This window comes from Homo sapiens, chromosome 8 (assembly GCF_000001405.40).
Source record: "Homo sapiens chromosome 8, GRCh38.p14 Primary Assembly".
Lineage (NCBI taxonomy): Eukaryota > Metazoa > Chordata > Mammalia > Primates > Hominidae > Homo > Homo sapiens.
Window position 1 is genome coordinate 130,248,110 of NC_000008.11, and position 22,870 is coordinate 130,270,979.

The 22,870-nt window shown below is 39.1% G+C and overlaps 1 protein-coding gene and 1 long non-coding RNA gene across 25 annotated transcripts in view, besides 1 other annotated feature; one reads left to right on the top strand and one right to left on the bottom strand.

The window, feature by feature from the left end:
* The window catches only part of ASAP1 (ArfGAP with SH3 domain, ankyrin repeat and PH domain 1), a 391,571-nt gene that overhangs the window by 196,006 nt on the left and 172,695 nt on the right, over positions 1 to 22,870 (bottom strand). The gene's annotated exons all lie outside the window — the stretch shown is intronic.
* LOC124902027 (uncharacterized) lies at positions 66 to 2,942 on the top strand. Its single transcript, XR_007061115.1, has 2 exons — positions 66 to 408; positions 1,642 to 2,942. It is a non-coding gene; the product is annotated as an uncharacterized LOC124902027 (long non-coding RNA).
* Positions 205 to 294: an enhancer, noted in NCBI's record as "active region_27983". NCBI's record gives its function as "activates an Ori minimal core promoter by ATAC-STARR-seq in GM12878 lymphoblastoid cells {active_cell/tissue: GM12878}" and the evidence as "EXISTENCE:reporter gene assay evidence [ECO:0000049][PMID:35858748]".

A 22,870-nucleotide genomic window follows, 5' to 3' on the forward strand; every position in this document is an offset into this window, starting at 1 on the left:
GCTTACTTATCAAAGAGGAATAGTTTATCTACCTGGTATTTCTAATCCTAACTCTGGCCCATTGAGAGGTCACTCAAGCATTCAGTCTGTGCTGAGGAATGTGGCGGGTGCCGGGGGGGTTGGAGGGGGGAGTGCGGAATGAACAGGCAGATACGGCTCCTACATCTACAAAGACCTGTACCTCCAGGCATCAAGTCTGTTCTAGGTGTGGGGATACCTGGTGAAGACAAGAATGTTCTCTTCTTCAAGGTGGAGTAGACAGAGAACAACCACGTGCATGCCAACATTCTGAGAAAACAGGCCCTTGTTGTTAAGAAGCATCAGGGAGATCAGATGCCTGAAACAAGTGGCCACAGGAGGGATGAAGAGATACACTGGGACCCATCACACAGGGAGGAAAGGGCCATGGTAAGGAGACTGGATTGTATTCTGGAGGCCGTAGTTTGGCCAAGATGGAGCCTCTAGGGTTTTAGAACAAAGACGTGATTAGCTCTGACCTTGAGAAAAATGACTCTGGCTGTTGTGGTGGAAATGGAAGGTAAAGGGGCAAGACTGGAAAGGGAGGAGACAAGCTGGGTATTACATCACAACACTTATCTGAAGTATTTCTGTTGTGGTTCAATCCACTTCCTCCTCTGGGACCACACCCCAAACTCAAGGCTTCCTCCAAATCTTCTCTTCCTCCTCCATGTCTATTTAGTACCACAGTGATGGCACAAAGATGTTCACCCGGACACCAAAGTCACATTCCTCTTGTTTAACCCTTTTCCCAAGAGGCCACAAAATTCTGCCAATTCAATCTCAGCAGCATTTCTTTTTTGTTGCTTTCTATTTTTTAGAAACAGGGGTCTCACTATGTTAATAGGCTAGATTCGAACCCTTGGGCTCAAGGGATCCTCCTGCCTCAGCTTCCAGAGCAGCTGGGACTACAAGTGTGTGCCTCTATGTCAGGTTATTCTGCAGCATTACTGAAACCCATTCCAAGGGCTCCTGTCTTACTTTAGGACTTAATCATGCCCCAGCCAGGTACTTCCACAGCCTCTAGCAGTTCATCCTCCACCCATCCATCTTCCGCACCATTGCAGAGTGTTTCTAAATATGTCTAGTCATGCCACTCTCTGACTTTAAAACAGAATCAAGTGGAACCCCCAACCATGGCTCATAAAGCCCTTCTCTGCCTCACCTCAATCTACTTTCACAGACTCGCCTTTGCAGCCAACCCACCCTTGTCACTGTGACTGTCCACTTTATATTCCTGGTTCTCCAAGTTCATGATGTCCTAACATGCCAGGCTCCTTTCTGGCCTTTATGACTCTGGAGATGCTAATTCTAGTAGCTAAAATTTTCTCTTTTCTGAACAATACTTCTGCCTCTCACCATTTTCTCCATCATCTTCTTAACAATTTTACAAACTCTTGTTCAACCTTTCAGATTGGGTTTTATCACCCAATAAGAAAGTTTCACTGCCCCCCTTCCCCAATTAAGAAATAATCTCTCTTCATTCACTAGTGCTATGAGAGCACCTGCCAGGTTATAATGACATTTTCCTCACATTTTTATCTTGACAAAGAACAGTTATTAATCTTTTAAGATACCAGACACACATATGTATGTGTTTATTTATATATTACTTCCTCCCAGTTGTAGAGCCATCTTGCTGGCCCTGCACCCCAGGGTGTAGGAGAAGATCTAGATGTGCCCAGTGTACAGAAACTGGAACCTACCATCTAAATTTGACTGCCCCTCAGATGTCTCTGGTTCTCAGCTTCCTGACCTGCAAATGTGCAAGACTACACCAATCTGCAGTCTCTTCTGGCTCTGATTTCTGAAAATCACGTATTTTCAAATCCTAGGAACATTATTCTTCTCTCTTAGCATGCTAGATTTCCTTTTAAATGAAAGAAATTTTAATTTAAAAAAAAGTAACACAAATAGCATCAACATGGAAATATATTTGGGAAAGTATCTGATATTCAAGATTTCCATGCAATTAAAAAGATAGGCCATAGTGTCAGGCTCAGATTCTAATTCCAGCCATTTCGGTGTCCCTATTTTGCATCCTCTGACCTCCAAGAGATATTCTGAAAAGTCTACCTTGAATTTACTACTCAAAGACTTCATCAATCTAAGAAGACATGCATTAATAATGCCTTTTTGGAGATGAAGAAATTAAGTCAGAAAGTAGGGATCCAGGGCCAAAAAACTAGTAAACGGAAAAATCAGGATTTTAACCCTGGAAAGCTTAACTCCAAAGTCTGTGCTTTCTGCCATGTCTGACTGCTTCTCCAACTAAAAAACATGTTTTATTCTACTTTTTGTCACGTCCAAGTATGGCGCATGCTAAGCTTACTATAGTTGCTTCATGTTCCTAGTTTCTGAGAACAGAAGTTTGAAGGGAATACAAGTGGTAAGCCATTGGTGACTTCTCCACTTCAATTATGAGTTTAGACCCAATTGTTTATTCATCAAAACAAACCTCAGAGCTGCCAACCACAGATCTGGTCATTGTGGGTTTTGTTTTGTTTTATTTTTTAATAAGGAGAGAAAGACCTAATTTGGCAGAGGAGACCAAGAAGCCCGGGCTATACATTTGCATAAAGATGATTACTAAAACTGAAGAATTGCTTCTCATAAAAAAAACTGATGGAGTTAAAAAAAAATCCAAATGAATTAAACCAGCAGTTCCTACCCTGTGATTTGTAGAAAACTGTTTCTGAGAGATGCTGGAAAGTATTCTGGAGAAAACAATTAATCTGTTTACCATTTGTAAAATGGTAAATTTGGAAAATACTACATTCTAACGATATCTTTTTCCTGGAGATACTGAATGCACGTCAGGCTATCAAAGACTGGAATGTTTTAAAGAAACATGTTTAACTCTATACTCCAACAATTCCCAACAAAGATAAAGTAAATAATTAAATAACTAATTACAATCAGAATACCTAGTTTTGTTTTTATTTTTGCACACCTGCAGAACAATGTTTTTTGGAACACCAATATAGAACACTAAATTTTTTAAAATGGGCCAGGCGTGATGGCTCACGCCTATAATCTCAGCTCTCTGGGAGGCTGAGGTAGGTGGATCACTTGAGGTCAGGAGTTCAAGACCAGCCTGGCCAACATAGCGAAACCGCATTTCTACTAAAAATACAAAAATTAGCCCGATGTGGTGATGGGCACTTGTAATCCCAGCTAGTCGGGAGGCTGAGGCAGGAGAAGTGCTTGAACCTGGGGGGAGGAGGCTGAAGTGAGATGAGGTAGAGCCACTGCTCTCAAGCCTGGGCGATAGAGTGAGACTCTGTCTTAAAATAAATAAATAAATACATAAATAATAAATTAATTTTAAAAAACTGAACAAAGTTAGGCCTCAAAAAAATATACTATGTACATCAGCTAAAGAGGTCTGACAATTTTCTGATGTCAACAACAGATACTATCAGCAAAAAGATAAATAATTGTAATCAATTTTTATAGAACAAACAAAACCAAGACAAAAGAACTAAGAGGGAAAAATACAACAAAAATCATGCATTAGACATATCGAAGTTGACATCTCTAATACATACTTAGGATGTAGAATTCTTATGTTGCTGCTATAAAGACCCAGAAGAACAGAGGGACAAAAAACATTAACACAAGAAACCGAAAATAGCAAACATATGCAAGTAATTTCAATTGCACTGATAAGTTTAAAATTCCACATGGAACAATAATAAAATGCATTTTTTATCCTTCTAAAGCTGTAAGAAATAGAAAAAAGAAATTTGGTGAATGGAGAGGCTTTGGAGAAATGGCCACAAACCATACAGAAGACAAATTATATTTCAAGTCACAAAACCACCCTTACATTTGACATAGTAAATCCAGTCCTGATAATTCCTTTCAAAACAACTGTTGCCATTTCCTCAATAATAAAGGATGTGTATTATCAAATGTTCTAAATCATCATTAGCAGTGTTTTATAGAAAGTTAGAAGTAACCTAAATCCAACAACAGTAAAATGGTAAACTAAAATAAAATAGAAATAGGAAGGACTCTATGGTTACTAAAAATTATGTATGGAACAAATTAGAATGGACAAAGGTCTATCATTTATTGTCTAATACATATGTGCAGATATCATAAAATATCATAATTTAGAACATCAAGTTACATGTATTATAATAATGTAAATTATCTAGAACTGTAAAGTGCAGAGAGGTACCTACAGATGTTTAACAGCTGTGCTATGTTGTAATTAAGAAAATTTTTTCTTTTAAAATAATTTCCTTATACAATATTAAAAGATTGATTCAGTACTTAAAATATTTTTAATCCTCTTAACAGTGTCTTATAATACATGCAATGCCTGCTTTTTCCTGAGCAATTTCAAAGGACCCAACAATATGTTAACTTTCATAGAAAACAAGGCAGAAATGGTACATACTCTCAGTAATCTCCATGTTGCCTTGTGAACTGTACATTTAAAAAATTAGTAGAATATTGTGTTTCAAGAGCTCCTGTCTGGGGCCCAAAAGAAAACTGTAATCACAGCAATTACCTTGTGAACCTCTAATTTCTGTTGTAGTTTTAAAGTTCGGAGTTAGCACACCCACCCACAAGCACCATGGCTTGTTCATCTTGATGCAATTTCAGTCCCATTCTTGGGAAAATAATAATTATAGGTACAACAAGGTATTTAAAGACCAAAAAAATACTCATGAAAACACCACTTCCATGTTACAACACAGTGAGAGTTCCTTAAAAGAATTAAAACCCAGACTGGAAAGAAGTTTCCTGAGTCACATCTTTTCAGGACAGTAAGAACTTACAGGATCCTACTTCAAAAGACAACAGATTGGAACAGTTTGGAAACCACCAAGCCTTTTAGCTTCCCACCAGTTCTAAGATCCTATAATGTCCTAATAAACCTATTTGTCTGGGTCTTGACCTAAATGATTCAAAATATGCTATGCATGGCTCACAGTCATTCAGGCTTAGTTACACAATTTTTGTCTGAGATGGAGAATCACATAGCTACCAACTAGATGCTGGAATTTAAATAACATGGTTTGGAACACAAAATCTAGAGCCAAACCGCCTGTGGTCAAATCCTAGCTCCACTACTTACATGACCTGGGCCAGAAACTTAACCCGGCTGTGCCTCAGTTTCCTCCCTCTATAAAACAGGGAAATTTATAGTAATTAATCTCATAGAGTTATAAGGATTAAGTGAAGAAATCCATATAAAGTGCCTTAGAATGGTACTTGGAAGAGAGCAAACCCTCAATAAATGTTAGCTAGAATTTGCAGATGCATACGCTTTGATTTTTTTCCCCAAAGTTCCCAACAGATACATAGTTAGCAAGAACAAATTTTATGTGAATGGTGGTGCTACTATAGAAGGAAAAGAAAAGGGAGATGTAGATACAAAGCCTTCCATTGAACAAGCTCTTTAGATTAGTGATCTCCTAGAAGACAGCACACAAGTCGGTCTACTGTGGTGTGGGAAGAAAAATACTGTAACTTCCGTCTGCCATTTTTATTTTGTATAATTATATGGCATTAGAACAGAAAATAGGTATGTATGTACATGTATATAGATGAAGACGAAATGCACGCTCAAAAAGCTTTACAAATGAGATGTACAAAAGTTTGGGCACCACTGCTATTAAGGAAGTTAAGATTTTACTTTTTCTTAAATATTTCTGGTAAAAAATTATGACAATGACGAGCCTGGCCAACATGGTGAAACCCCGTCTCTACTAAAAATATAAAAATTAGCCAGCCGTGGCGGTGGGAGCCTGTAATCCCAGCTACTCAGGAGGCTGAGCCATGAGAATCGCTTGAACCCAGGAGGTGGAGCTTTCGGTGAGCTGAGGTCACACCATTGCACTCCAGTTTGGGCAACAAGAGTGAAACTTCATCTCCAAAAAAAACCTATGACAATAAAACGTCTTGGTCCTATACATACAGAATAATTCAACATGTATTTACTGACTGCCATCCATGCTTATAAGCATTACAGGAAAGGTGGAGTAAAATGTGACAAAAATGCAGCGCAGGAGCTATCTATTGTCTGTACAAAGAGACAGCAACAACACTGCCTGATGTTTAAAGGCCACTGCCAAGGATTCCAGTGGGTTTTTCTTTTTAAATATATTTTAGATGCTTTTATTTAATTAATAAATTCAGGAAAGAGCATTGTAAAAAGTGCATTGTTAAAATTCACGGCACTTAAAACAAGAATGTGACTAGTATAAAACAAGAAGGGAAACTCAAATGGTGAGAAGTAATCATACAGTGGTCTGTTATGGTACTAATTCAAAGTAAGACTTGCATAAATGATAGCTGCGGCATGAACCACAGTATAACTTCACACATTCATTAAAAAGGCAAATTTATAGTTAAAACTTCAAAGAAAAAGTACTGATAAAAAAGTTTTACCCCAAAATTGCAAACAAATACATTAAAAGATTAGAAGATAAAAAGCACCAGACATTAAACAAAATAAAAATAATAAAATTCAACTCAAAAGGTCCCCTTTCAGCAAATAGTCTGTAAATTATGACCCTTATGTAAACAGTGCTAAATCAAGGACTTTTTAGCTAAATCAGTACTTTTATCTAAGGCTTCAATTTGTAAAGAGAAGTTACCAAACATCAAGTAACTCTTAAAATGGTACACAGGTTTTCAAGCTATTGGTTTTTCCTTCCTAACTCTCTGAATGAGTTTTTCTTAAGTAGCAACAACCAATCTAACAACTTTAAACTTAGAACACAGGATGGCATCAAATGATATTACCATTATTCAAAAACAAAATAATACCTTATATCTTGCCATTTTTACCACTGTGCTTCTGATTTCCCCAACTGCCAAAATATTATCCCCATCTTCCCTTTCTGGGAAAATTAAGGCTCTCTAGAGAGACTAAGTGACTTTCCACATAAGTAATAAATGTCTCGAAAGTCATCTCCCAAATCAAAATTCAGTTTTTAAAAAATTATTCTGTTCACAGATCTCCCATAATCTTAAAGATATTTATATTGCTAAAAGCAAATAAAAATATATATATTTCACCCCTAAGTCTGTTTCCTACTTATCACAAGGCACTTAGGACACCTGGTACTGGCAAAAAGAAAAACTCCAAGACAAGTTCCTTTTTGTTTTGAACACAATACCCAGCAAACTAAAGACAAAAAGCTTAAACTTTAGCCAGAACTCTACCACTCTAAAACGCTATTTTCTTTTTTGTTGGCTTCCTAACTTGTTCATGTACATTTTCTCTATGTACCTAATAAATGTTTTATGTGCAACCTGTATTCTGCTTTTTTCACTTAATATTAAACTGCAAATAACCTTTGCATATTTTTTTTCCTGCATGTGCATGGCTACTTCAGCAGTTGCATAGCATTGTATCACTCTGATAGATCATCTGTCTCCTATTCACTCCTGTCAAAAATTAGCTTAATGGTCAGTTTTTCCACTTTCATTAATGGTACTGATTATAAAAGCCTAATTTTCAGGATGAATGTCAAATAACAAAAAGTTGCTTTTATGAAAAATAATTTTAAGTTGTGTGTGTTTAAAAATATGATTATGAATTATCAGCAAACACGAATAGTATTTTTTCAGATACTAATAATTTATGTCCCTAAGTCGCAACACTGACAAAAAGTCTTGCTTAAGTTTTTGACTTCTAAAAAGATGGTCACATACCAGAAATGTCACAAAAATCTAACTAATCCTCTTGCAAATTACATGTGAGTGCAATTTAGGATATGGTTAACTCAAAGTGAAGGTATCTTAAAAGGGTCCAATGGCTAATATGGACCCCTGCTCCCAACACCCACTCCTCCCACACACACAGAACAGCTGGTTCTTAACATGCACCCTTTCAAACAAAGCTCCCTCAGGACGGCCAATTCAGACAGAATATCTTATTAGGAAGAGAGTGAGAGAATGTTCACAGACCCAGGGACCTAACGATTCAATATTAACTTGAGGAAGACAGGGATGAGGTACCAACCTTTGCCCTGAAGCACTAATGAACATTATGTTCCACTAGGTATTGTTTCCGTAAACATAAATCTTCCTGTTCGCAAGAGTTGATGAAGTTTTCTATAAATTAAACCTTTTTCCTTGAAGATGCACACTAACACTTCAGAGATGTTTTCCTCAGGTTTTTTGTTTTAGGAGAATGAGTACTTTTGTAAAGCAAATGGTCAGTCTCCCTTGTCCCTAGCTCATACATTCAGACTTCTGGTATACCAAGCTTACTTGAACGGGGAATACATCTGCAGAGGATCTGGGGGGTGGGGGGCGGTGGGGGAACTTCCATCACCACTCTGAATTCATTCATTTGGCACAATATTCAAGAGTTGAGAAATACAGAGATAATCTTGACCTTGGGGACTGTGATAGGTTACCTCAATCCCACTTATTAGGTGGCTAGATACAAAATATTTTAAAACACGAATGCTTCCCTCTAGTATTTTTGCCTTGGAGATAAAATTTCCAGGGCAAAAATGTATTCACTTAGAAGCTAAGTATGTAGTAAATTTTAGAACATATTTAAAGAAAAATATAGCTTGAAGTCAGGAAGGATAAAGAAAATTCAAAATCTTCTTCCTGAATATACACATTCTTATATATATATATATATATATATATATATATATATATATATATCCTTATATATATATAAGCTTTTATTAAATTACATTTTGTGGATTGAGTTATACTATAAAGGGAGGGGACAAATTTCCTTTGAAAGTTTTATTTAATATACCGCTGGGAGTAAAATTAAAGGGATATCGATGATTTAAGAAGTGTGTTTCCATTTCCAATCCCAACATTTAAAAAATGGAGCTGGAGTGCTAAAGGTGGTAAAGAAGCATCATTTCTTCCCTTTTTTAAAATTTCCCACACTATATCAATGTACCTTCTTATAACCCATAATTTTATAAAAACTAATGTAACTGTTTTCCAAATGTCCACGCTGATAATACAGTAAAGTCACATATTTAGAGGGTATGTCTTTGGAGCCTGTGTGGGCCCAGAGCAGTAACTATAATATACACCCCCAAGTAAATCTTTTATTTCTTTAAAAATACAATCCAGTCATTATGGTACTACTTAATAGAATGTCAAGCAACATTTTACTATCTACACAACCCAGAGATTCACCAAATTACTCTACTTCTCAAAAATGAGCAAGCAGTTCCCCCAATATCCAATGACAAGGTCCACTAAGAACAAACAAGTAGTTCAAAACCAGTCACAATCCAACTACATTTATTTACATAGTTTGGCTAATGTTTCACAAAGCACTACTCTGGAGGATCTGGTATTAGGCACAGTACTTCATAAAGAATATTTCACTTCATAAGCTTCTGTTTTATAGGTCTGGTTAAAAAAAACAGGATTTAGAAATTTTGACATATTTAGAAAATACTTAAATTTGAGTAATATTCATTGAGATCAGTATTTCTCAAAATCTGTGCCCAACTAGCCCAATTAATGCTGTTGCGAAAAAAAGGGATCTACAGTCGGTAAATTTGGGAAATACTCCAAGCTGTATCTCCTTTCGAAAATTCAAAAAGCATTAATATACTAAAATTCATTACATTTCTGTTTTTTAAAAAATGTTTCTTTAACACAATATTTTCTAAACTGATTTGGACTCAAGAGCACCCCCCCCCCATTATTTTTTAGAAGTGCCTACTAATCTCAGAAGTAGTTCTCCATGTAACATGTTAGTTATATGCACTTGAACCACAATATTCTAGCAAATCTGTTAAAGAAGAGATTGCAAATGTGGGGCCCCAAATCCAAATTCAACCTGCCATGGGTGTTTTACATGGCCTGTATAATATCTTTTGTAAATTTGTGTATTAGTGTACAAACATTTCAAAACTTGGGATATTTAAAATAAAAATTTAAAAGATCAGCTTTTCCTATAGAAGGCCCTGGTTGATCTGAACTCACCTTTTTCCAGCAACAACAGTCAGTGGGCCTACAGAGGCCCACAATGCCTTTTTAGGTTCTCCAGCTGCCACTGAACCAGTTTGCTGACACCTGGCCCCAGCTCCATAATGGAAGACGTTAGGGCACGTTTAGATGCTTGAGGAGAAAAGTCAATCGTCAACCAGCCCATCCCCTGCAGTCTACCTCCTCCAAGAATTCTGCACGTGACCCAGGATGGTTTGTCAAGGACAGTCCCTGTTTACACCCATTGCCCTGGCATATTTAACACAGCCACCTTCACCCTTGCCTTCTTTTGAAGAAGTTAAATGTACACTCTAGCTGTGAAGCTGTCACAGACCACCCTGATAATTCACTAAACTTCCTCCACCCTTAAGTCCCACGGATGTTTTAAAACACTGAGTGTATCCTTCATTACTTTCCAGTTGTTTCATGTAAGTGTAGTGGAAACAACAGAGACGAGAGCCCAGATAACTTGGTCTGCATTCAGGCTCTACCTCGGAAGGGCTCTGTGAGTTGGGTATGTCTCCTACTCCCTTTGGGATTGAGGATCTTCATCCCACTATTTTACAGGGTGAATGGGAGGTTCAAAGATGGAGCAAGTGCTTGGTACATAGTAGGTGCTCAACAAATAGTACTTATCAGTTCTGAGACTGTATCTCCATGAAATTATGACTGTCTCTCACACATCTCTTATACTCCAAATGGAATGGTTTTGGGTTCTTACAGTAAATAGATAACATACGTGGTGGTTGACTGATTTGCTGATTTCTTCCCTGCAAAACTGGAAATGTCCTTGTTTCGATTCCCATGTTTCTTATGCCTTCCCTACTCCTCTCCTCCCCAATTTTGGGGCAAGTGGTAGGAAGGCCTTTTCCCTATTTGCCCCATCGATTCCAAAAATAAATTCCAGAGGAGCATGTGTCCATTTGCTTATGGTATTTTAATTTTTTGATGGCTGGGGGTAAGAAGAGAACTCTTTAAAGAAAAAAAAAATCTCCCCACAGAGTACGGTTCACAAAATTCATGACCTGAGCTGATTTGAGAAATAACAATCTGCCTCTATTTCAGAAAATAAAGTGATGACTCACTCACTAAGATGGGCTGAATTTTCTTCCTCTGTGCTTTGGGATTTCTAAATATCAGAGAATTTCCCTTGGGATTTTCCCCAAAATCTTTATTTGCTCCCAACAAGCTTTAAACAATCTTCTATTTTCTACTCCTTTTAAATCTGTCCCCTTTTATTTTAGCTAATAACAAGTTATTTCTCACGAGTTCCTTCTATGAAAAGAAAACCTCAAAGTGGATGCTAAAATGCTTAAAATTCACTTTAAACCCTTGCCAGGCCTCTTTTGTGAGACTACACTGAAATCACCCTGGATGCAAGGTCTCTCCTGCTGACTTTGAAGTTTGTAGATGGACAAAACAAAACAACAAAAAAAGCAGGGCTCTGATCCAACAAGTGCCCTTTGTGGGCTGGTTATGACTGTACAAAAATTTCAAGTAAAATTGGCATAAATTAGAAATGCTGTTCTTTAAAACCCAACCTAATGAACCATCATTATCTTGTCATGCTAGCTGACTAATTAGCTATGCCCCACTGCCTCACATGACTTCCAAACATTTTAGTTGCTTATAATGGACAGGAAGGGGCGACAGTGTGTGCAATTCTACAATGTCTTCACTTGAGAAAGAAAGTATAAAAGGTTAGATTTTAATTCAATGAACTTCACACATACAGGCCAAGAGTTCTAAGACAAGCAAACTGTACCTTTGTGGATAATGCTCATGAGGATAAATAAATACTAAGGCTTTCAAATTAAGTGCATTTATCTATCAGTCATAGGCAGCACCGAAAATTATTTTAAAATTCCTTGCCAAGTGACTCTTCTCTCTTCCAAAAACTTTAGGGAAAATGGATAAAGAATATGTTAACTTCCTATTCTTTTTGAAAAGAACAAAAAAGGACAATGTTGTTCATTTATACATTGTCCAGTTATGGGAAAAAACCCATTAAGAATCTATGTTTTTCTTTCCATTCAGTAGTTATTCCCAATGTTTCTTGTTATTTCTGTGACAGTATAAGATCTTTACAATGTAAGGTGTATAATAATGAACTAATAGATCTGAGTAAAACCTGAGAGAGTATTCACAACAGGGGTGTATTCTATACCATCACAGTCTCTTCCAATCAAATCACTGTGCACTCTGATTGTTGGGCTACTAGACCATAAATGAGCTCTGTGCCATTCTCTTCTCTTATACTCACTGCAGTTCAGCCTCCATGCTAACAATGTTTTAGCCACTTTTCTCTTAACAGCCAAAAGCTCATCCCATCTTACTGACTAACAGAGCTGGTAAGACCTTAGAGGTAACATATTCTAATTGCCATATTAAAAATAATAAAAAAGCAAAACCTGAAATCCTGAGAGGTTCAATGACTTGCCTAAGTTCACATAACTTGGACGGGTTAGCACCAGGACTAAATCTGGGTGTGGCTCCCACTCCTGTGGCTTCTCCCTCTATTGAGATGTAACTGGAATTTCAGACTGTGGGGAGCACTGGCCCAGGCTAGCAAGTAAGTCCCTCAGCTCAGATACTTGGTGGATGAGCCTCAAAAGCATGGATCAATTTGGCCTCTGAAGGGATCCCCAGGGTCTGTCTCTATGTGCCGAACCACTTGCGCTCTCCAGCCAGTACACTACAGTATAAACAAAGGAATACCAGGGCACATCCAGCCACGGGATGAACACAGGCACTGAAGATTTTTGGGAGAAAGAAGTTTTATATTAAAACAGACATAAACTATATTGTGGTGCATAAAACCAAATTTGCTTTTCCCCCCCTCAAGATAAAACACTGTATTTCCAGGAAATTTCAAAGTCTCCCAGGGTCTTTCATTCCTCAATCAACTTTACGCAGAGATGCAGTCCACATTTATTCAATTATATATTCTCAAAAAACGTCTGTGGGGAGAGGTCAATTACTAGTCACAGACCCCACTGTGAGGAAGCCATGCCAGTGAGACTGTGAAAGATGATTAAGGAATCTGCTGGCCCCTCAGCTCCTGCATGCTCTCTCATATTCCAAGGATCCCACTACTCTGAAAGTGATTCCAGTTTAAATATATGTGTGTATGGCGATGTATGTGTACACATGACATCATAGCCCCTAAACACAGGCCAGTTACTTTGGTGCTCAAATGAATAAATAATGTTCTGAAGGGAAAAGCACCCAGATATGTAAGCCTCCATCATGGAATCTTCCTAAGCAACTTTCAAGGGCATTTCTGCCTATATGCTACTTGCACCTAATGTGATGACTTAACCACCCAATAAATTCCAACTCTACTTCCAGGGGGTAGGTTTGAAAAGGACTAGAAGGGAGATGTAGGGTGGTGGGAGGCTCGGAAAATACGGGAATGGGGTGATGAGTGAGCAAGTGGCTTGGGGTAGGCTTAGGGAAACCCAGGGCATCTTTGATTGTGAGTAAAGATGACCAGGAAGACCTCATACAAGAGATACCTAACACACACTCTGGCCCATCTAAATTAGAGGCTGATAACTCCTCAGGTGGAAGTACCCTGAGGCAATCATATAGTCAACAGAGAGTAAGAACTCTGATACACAATACAATCTTGAGAGTTCATGCAAATAGTGTGAGTGCCTACATGGAAGCCTGTGTGGAGGGGGGCAAGGGACCTGGGGCGGAGAGATTCTGAAGGAGTTAGGATTATAGTCAAGGGATCTCCCTCCCTCCCTATGTTAGTTTTTGTTCTTAGTTCTATGACTACTGACAGTTGAACCTCTCCCCAAGCTACTTCACAATTCCTACATATCATATATATATAATAAACAGAATGAACAAAAGGAATATGGTAAACAGGTATAAAACTTAACTGCTAGACAATATATAAATATATGGAGAATACAAACTATGAATACTTTTTTCACTTGCTAACAACCAGCATATGAGGGAAAAAATGTATTTTATACATTGTCTTCATGTTTCCAGTGCTATTAAAAAAGGGAGTACCGGCTGGGCGCGGTGGCTCACACCTGTAATCCCAGCACTTTAGGAGGCCAAAGTGGGTGGATCACGAGGTCAGGAGTTCAAGACCAGCCTGGCCAAGATCATGAAACCCTGTCTCTACTAAAAATACAAAAACTAGCCGGGCACGGTGGCAGGAGCCTGTAATCCCAGCTACTTGGGAGGCTGAGGCAGGACAATAGCTTGAACTCGGGGGATGGAGGTTGCAGTGAGCCGAGATTGTGCCACTGCACTCCAGCCTGGGCAACAGTGAGACTCCATCTCAAAAAAAAAAAAAAAAAAAAAAAAAGAGAGAGAGAGAGAGAGAGAGAGAGAGAGAGAGAGAGAGAACCTGTGGAATTTCAGATAGGTTAGACAGAAGGTTTATTCACTACTCTCTCCTCAAGTGAATGCTTGAGGTAGAAAATAATTATCAAGTATGAAGAAAGTAGCCTTTGAATGTTAACTGGAATTCCTAGCTCCTCAAATGTCTTTAACTAATATTTAGACTAAAAGAACCCCTTACTTTCCATGATCCATGTTGGGATAAAGGGTATAACAGAATTTTGAAAATATTTATAAAATAGGCTCCATTGAAAATTCCCCCCAAAAGCTCTAAGAGAGCAGACCTCAAATACAAGTTTATTTTCAGATGCATTATTAAATGCTTCACATTTTTTACTTCAGCAGAAGCATAAACACAAAAGCCTGTTCCATGACCCTAAAGACAGGATTTCCTTGAATGACGCGCTAATGAAAAATGCAAACCAGTGGAAGTTTTGACTCATTGCACCAGGGTCTGCAACATTCCAACCAAAGATCTGCCCTGGACCAAGAGAGAAATCACTCCTCAAATCAAAAGTTACCCTTAACCCCTTACGTTGAGAATATTTCTGCTTTTGTACAACATGGAAACAGAAAAAGATCCATCCCCAGAAATACCTGATTTTTACTAATACGAATATGAATTTACTAATATGAATAGCTCCCTTTGACTTGGCATATAGTGTCTGATTACGTGTGTTGATCACAAAACTTACCTTCAAAATGCCCAAATTCAGAGATCAGGTGGCCAGGTTCTGGACCAAAGGGCCACACTTTTCTCCTAGCTATAGCTAACTGAACCAGGGAAGGTAGCATGACCCAAAGGCTTCCCAGCAACCCAAGATGTGGCTGGAGGAAAAAAAGATGAGCTGGGCCAGTCAGATCCCACCCTCTCAGGAATTTGAACTAGAGAAGAGAATTTGACAGAGAAGAGACCATGATGGGCCATGCACAAATTTTACTGAAGGAACACAAACTACAACTAGGTGTAGAAAAAAGATGCAACAAGCAAAGGCAAGTCTGGGTACAGCATGAGTGTGAAGAGAACAAAACATAAATACAAAAAAGAAGACATCCTTGAGAGACACCAGGAGGTGGCTGGAATTAATCCCCCACCAACCACCACTTTTGAGTAAGTTTAAATGAGCCTTTGCTCACTTAGGGAGCCTAACTGAAATGGTTCTCTCTGTTATTTTATTTAAGCCTAAAAACCCTATGAAGTGAGTATTATTAACCTCTGCAGGCCACAGAGCTATTAAGTAGCAAGATCAGGGAATCAAGCTCAGCAATGTCTTGCTCTACATCCTAGGGCTTATTCACCATGCTATATGCATTCCACAATAACAACTTCCAGTGCCTTCTACCAACTATGCACAGAGGGACACTTTACATCTGTTTTACAACAAATTTGCCTTGAAAAGTGGGCATATTTCACAGATGAGGAAACCGAGGTTCAGAGCAGTTCAGTGTGTCTAAAGTAACGTAGACAATAATGACAGGCCAATGACTCACACACATTCTTCTTGCCACAGACCTCTGTGGTGCACACACTGACAACTTAGGTTCTAGCCCCTGTTAAAACTAGTGAGGAGGAAAAAACCACAACTGGAAAAGGCAGAGGATTCCTAAATATGATGGACAGGACATGGTGTGGAGGTCAACAGAGAGACACAACACACATGTCTTTCTTGAGTGCTACCTCCAGATAAGGAGAAGAGAATGAAATTTCAGAACATCAGAGATGGGCTTAACCTAAAGGCAAATCAAATCAAGAATGCTAGCTAAACAACGGAGGCTCCTAAATAGGATTGGAAATGGAGAGAGAAAAGTGCTGATGTTTCATTTCACCTGGTCCTTCCATGGTTGACCTGTCAGAAAACGCTGCTGGGATCTATATAGGATCCTGTGGTCACCAGCACTCTGTCCAGATGGACACGACTCTCAGGCCAGCCAAGTCCTCTCAGTCAGCAAAGGCAGTCGTGCGTGCCAGGCAGCTGACTTGGCTAGCAGGACTTATCCTCCCTTTCCTCTGCCTGCTTAGATACCAATAGTGCTTGGAAGGAAAAGTGGCCCAAGCAACACCTCTGACTGTGGAAGCCTACTTTGTCTCTCCTTTCTTGATCAATACTAGCAAGCAATGGTTATCTAAGCTTTTTTTGGAACTATAACTGTATTCTTGAAATGTTACCAGATATTCACGCACAACATATTTCATTTTGTTTCAATTCACTTCACTATGTGCTAATAAATAATGTGTTTGCTCCTCATCCTCAACCCATGAATATGAACATGAGAAAGGGTGAATCCTTCCCTTCTAGAAACATGCCGGGTGACAGTGCTGGTGCATCACAAGTAAACCACAATGTCAACACACGATGATCACTATGTACGCAAAGGGGTTCCAGAAGCCCTACTTGGGTGAGTCAGGGAGAATGTCCTGGAGAAGGTGGCATTTCACCATCTTTGAAGAGTAAATGACCCCCAAGAATCAAAGGAAAAGAAAAACATCTTAAGAAAGAGGGAGGAACACAGGCAAAGTATGGGAGGAGAAGCTATGAAGACTAAAATTACTGGTGTACAAGGAAGTGGTAAAAAAGAAAAAGATCTTTCAAAGAATATTGTGAACTGAGCCAAGGATGTGGCCCTTTTCTCATGGCAACAAAGGGCTGCTGGCAGCTTTAAATAGGAACTGTGATGGGGGAGCTTGTTCCCTTCAGTTCCCCAGAGCACCTAGAGCAGGCAGAATAACAGGAGATGCTCATAAATGTTTCTAGAAGTGAATGATTAAATAAGCAATCAGGATTTGGGAGGGTGTCCCATCATACTTTCCCCAAAACAAGATAAAGAAGCAAAGATTGGCCGGGTGTGGTGGCTCACCCCTGTAATCCTGGCACTTTGGGAAGCTGAGATGGGAGGACTGCTTGAGCCCAGGAGCTTGAGACCAGTCTGGGTAACATAGCAAGACCTCATCTCAACTAAAATTTTTAAAAAAGTAACAGGGTGTGGTGGTACACACCTACAGTCCCAGTGACTCATGAGGCTGAAGCAGGAGGTTTGTTTGAGTCTAGGAGTTCAAGGCTGCAGTGAGCTATGATGGTGCCACTGCACTCCAGCCTGGGTAACAGAGTGAAACCCTGTCTTTAAAAAAAAAAAAAAAAAAAGGTCAGGTTTGGCAGCTCACACTTGTAATCCCAGCACTTTGGAAGATTGAGGTGGGCAGACTGCTAGAGCCCAGGAGTTCAAGACCAGCGACCAGCTTGGGCATCATGGCAAAACCCTGTCTCGCTAAACAAAAAGTAGCCAGGTGAGGTGGCACAAGCCTGTGGTCCCAAGTACTTAGGAGACTGAGGTGGGGATATCATCTGGGCCTGGGAGGTCGAGGCTGAAGAGCCAAGACTGCGCCACTGTACTCAAGTCTCAAGCCTGGGCGAAAGTGAAACTGTCTCCCCCGAAAAAAGCAAAGAAGGACTTCCAGTGTTACAGCATAAAGCACACAGAAGTTCTGGATAAAGTATGGCTAACATCCATAGTGAGTAAGCAGTAAGCATGTGAGGTGATTTTGCCACAGCCCTTTTCCATTGTTTTGGTAACCTAAGGGAGCTTAGGTTTCAACACTCTTGCAGAGACAGCAAAAAATGACCCACAGGTGCGGGGTTGAAACTTAGATTCCCTCCCAAAGTTGGACCTCTTGAGGGACTACAATCTCAATGAAAGGTGAACTAGGGAAGAGAAAAATCCACCCACCAGCACAGAGAGATGCAAGAAAGCTGGTCTGTCTCTAAGGTGGGGGTAGGAGTGAAGGTGCGGCTGGAGGAGTCTGACCTGAGATTACATAACTAGTGGTCAGTGATTCCACCTGAGTGGAATCCACTCTCAAGCTGCAAAGTGATTGTATACAACAGGGGTCTAGACATTCAGGGATGAGGGGAATCATATCAGTGACTTAATCTCAAATAAGTGGTTGTAGGGGGGAGGGTTCTGTGTACTGTACTTGCCATTTTTCAGAAAGTTTAAAATCTTTTAAAAAATATTTTTAAATGAATTAAATAAGCAGTTTGGAGCTGGAAGCACCCCAGGAGAATCAAATGCAAAACCACTCTGGAAGGTAATGACTCACATCAGGCCATATAAATTTCCCACAGAGAAAGCCCTCCTGATAACGAGATTACCTTCCAAAAATATAAAAACATGAAAGAATACAATCTACCATGGGAGAGAACCAACAGTTATAAAAAACAGAACTAATTTCCCCAATAATTTGATTTAATACAGTTACTGAATACATGACACAATTTGTAAAAATAAAGACCTAAATAGTAAAATAAAATGAGAATAAAAATGAGAAAAGAACAAGACACTATGAACGATAGACAGATATAAATACACATTAAGCAGGTCTAAAATATAAAAAATATGTATCAAAGGAACCATTAAAATAGCTGATGAGAGAATTAGTTAACTGGAAGATATATCTGATGAAATTATCCTTAAAATGAAGCACAGAGAAAGAAAAAGTAGGATAATAAGTGAGGATAAGAGACATAGAAGATAGAATGAGAAAGCTTAATATTAACCTAAACCTACAGGTACCGCCGCCACCCACCCCCTCAAAAAAAAAGTAGTCATTAAGAGGACAAAGAAGTAGTACAGCCCAGAGTGAGACTCTGTCTCAAAACAAACAAACAAACAAACAAAAAAAAAACAAAACAAAAAACAAAACAAAAAAAAACTAGTACAGCCCCTTTTCATACACTCCAGTTGGGGAAATCCTTGTAAAAAAGAATCTATTGCTCAACTCAAGCCTACAGTTAACCCTAGCGACAGCTCCTAGATCTAATGAAGTTCAAGGAAAACAAGAGTAACAAGAGCTATAGTAGTCAAGCAATTCATGGACCTTGAAGAATAGGGGAATAAATGGTATGTTGTGATATAATACTGACAGCTAAGACTTACTGAGTACTTAGCCTGTGCAAACACTGTAGTAAGCTCTTTAGATGAAGAATCACATTAGATCCTCCCAAAAACCCAATGAGATGGGAATAAGAATATGATGATGATTTTACAGATAAGGAATGTTAAGTACCTTGCCTGCAGTCACACAGCAGGTAAATGGAGGGGCTGGAAGTCATCTCTACAGCTAGGCTCTTAACCATTCTGGTATCTCAGCAGAACCCCTCTCCCTTGATAAAAATCTACTTTGTAATTAATAAATAAATTACGTGTTGAAGGAACTCCTCTACCCTATGCTTATAAAAGCATTGTGGTCAGGGTGGAATATCCTTTGCCCATTGGGTAGAATATTTTCCTTCACAAGAGTAGGGAACTTAGTTGTGACTGATATATTTTCTCCTTGAGAAAATCTTCCCGTAAGTAGTCTATACAAGGGGATGTTGGGTGAGGCCCTCTCTCTAGAGAGAAACTCAGGAAGTGTCCAGCCCAGAACTGGTAGGAGCAGCTGAAAAAGTAGTCTTTCCTAAAACCATGAACCTTCTTTGTGGCTAGTGGTGTTACACAAAGCAACATGGCAGCACAAGTTCCATAAAGGTGGTGCTCCATTCCCTCTGTCCAAGCATCTCACTTCCATACACCCCAAGGAAATTGGTCACTAGGAGAAAAGTGGCTAATAACTCAAAGTTGATTACAGATCTGATGGTATCAGCCAAAATACAGACACAATCTCTGCAGATCCAGTAACACAGAAATGATTTAGTAAATTAAGGAACATCTCTATATGATGATATTATTATGTGGCCCTCAAAATAAGACTGTATAGGCCTGGCACGGTAGCTCATGCCTGTAATCCCAGCACTTAGGGAGACTGAGGCAGGTAGAGCACTTGAGCCCAGGAGCTCGAGACCAGCCTGGGAAACACAGCAAGACTTTGCCTCTACAAAAATATTAAAAAATTAGCCAGGTGTGATAGTGTGCACCTGTAGTCCCAGCTACTTGGGAGACTGAGGTGGGAGAATCACTTGAGCCCAGGAGGCAGAAGTTTGTAGTGAGCTGGGATCATGCCATTATACTCCAGCCTGGGTGACAGAGTAAGATCCCGTCTTAAAACACACACACACACACACACACACACACACACACACACACACACAACTGTGTAACTATAGAGCAATATTTGTACTATTTTAAAGAAAAAAACGCAAAATTCAACATGGCATGTATTTGAAGATGGTAACGGTTAAAACAATGTATACAAGCAACAAAAACTAAAAAATAATAACTAAAAATAGTTGGGTTAGAGTAGTGGGATGGTAGGTGATCTTTTCTCTCCAAATATTTAAAAAATTATATTGTTGCATGATATACTACATTTAGAGGGGAGGCATTCAGGCTCCTTGATAGCACTCCAGTTTAAGAATCATTTGCAGTCTCCACAAAATTATACTACTGTTTGTTAAACGAAATTCTTTCCTTGAAGCATTCCCCCATCAATTTTGCCAATGTTAGCTTACATTATGCAGGACAAGAGCAATATCAAGTTACTTAACATGATTAGTGAAATCTGAGGGAGGAGGAGGGAGGGTGGAGAAGGAACAGTCAAAGGCACTTAAACTACTAACAAAAAAAGTACTGTGGCTTGTACATAAAACCATTATTGGCCTCCATAAGGCATTATCAGTCCAATAATACATTTCTGTTTTAGACTTTTAAAGAAGTGTACTTGAAACCAGAACAGGCCTTGAATTTCAAATACATACAACTAAAGGAATGCTGCAGTGGGAGAATTAAGGCCAACTGAAATTGGCCTTTTGTCTAGGATGCATTCTTTAGACTTAAGAAAAAGGCAGAGTCTGGTTTAGCTGTGGATAAATTTGAAAGTAAAATCCGAGGTTTGCAGAATTACCCACACACCCAGAGAGAGAAGGCCAATGCAGATTTCTGTGATACAGTTTCCAAGTAAAATAGCCATTCTGTGACCTGACTGTACCTCTAGCTCGAAGGAAGCAAACAAAAAAATTGTTAGCAGGATGTCCTGAGAATACAGATAGTGACAGTTCAAGTGGCTGTCTACACATGCTCACAGGGTCAACAGCAGGAAAGAAACAAGAATGTTAAACTTATGTCCCAACAGATTAAACTGCCTCCCAGTAATACATGCCACCTACCAAAGTCCCTCTCCAAGTTTCATACTGACAGAGTGGTCATCTCAGCTTAGTGTAGCAAACCTAGGTTTTCTAGGTTTTGATAACTATGTGTGACTGTCTCTTTCACCCCTAAGGGGGTCACTATTAGATGAGGCACTGTCCTGGGAAAGTTGAAAGGTACGTAAAGGTCAGGGTCTCTGGTTATATGAACAGGCCTCTGGATTCATGCAAGGGTAGAATTACTTTTAATTTTTGTCTTATCTGGTCTCTGGTACCTGCATTAGATAAATGTGCTAAGTGTGTGTTCCAAGCATCCAGGATCACAAAATTTTGAGGCATTCGTTCCAAGTTAAATATCAGGCCAGGCATGGTGGCTCACACCTATTATCCCCGCACTTTGGGAGGCGAAGGCAGTTAGATCACCTGAGGTCAGGAGTTCAAGACCAGCCTGGCTAACATGGCGAAACCTCATCTCTACTAAAAATAGAAAAATTAGCCAGGCGTGGTGGCCCACACCTGTAATCCCAGCTATTCTGGAGGCCGAGGCACAAGAATCGCTTGAACTTGGGAGGCAGATGCTGTAGTGAGCTGAGATCGTGCCACTGCACTCCAGCCTGCGTGACAGAGCGAGAATCTTGTCTCAAAAAATAAAAAATCAAACCAAATCAAATAAAAAGTTATCAAACATTTACAATAAAGTACCAAGCTAAGTCACTTTGGGCCCATGTTTCCCCCTCCAATAAGATGAAACTTTTTCTTTTGGTAAAGATCACACTAAATTCACTTCATTACCCATTAACATACATTGTGACCTGCAGTTTGAATACTTCTGCAGACCCTTATAATTCTGATGATTCCTAATTCTAACATTCTTTCTGTCTGATCTGTGTGATCTCAAGGAATCAGCTCTGTATGTAAAAGTATAAAGAAATAACTTCCCTCATTTAAAAGGTTAATTGGATAACCAGTGTAGAGACAAGTAACTTATAAATTCAAAGCTTTTCATTTTGCTCATATTTTGCTCTATGTTCATAGAAACTGTCTTTCAACTAAAACATGCATAAGAACACAAAAACTAAACCAACTAGGCTAAATCTTCATCCTGTATGTTTCTTTGCAAGAAGGCAATTTGGTTCTAATATTTGAGTTTAATAAAAAACAAACAAAATCTATCCTAAACAGAGGTACCTAAAGAAGGTAATTCTGTCCAACAGGTAGAAGCTGCTGGGAAAAAACAGTCCTTAGAAAAGAGTTACAGATTTTAGTCCACTGTTTCTCTCTACCTTTAAAAGCCATTTCCCTCATCTGCTCAAATTAATTTTTCCTAATGAATTGAGTTAATCCTCCTTTTTTGAAACAGAAATCTTTCCTGTAAGTATTACCTGAGAAGTAGTTCACCCTACAGTGTAAGATGAGTCACCAGCACACAGAACAAGTGCTGAACAATCCAC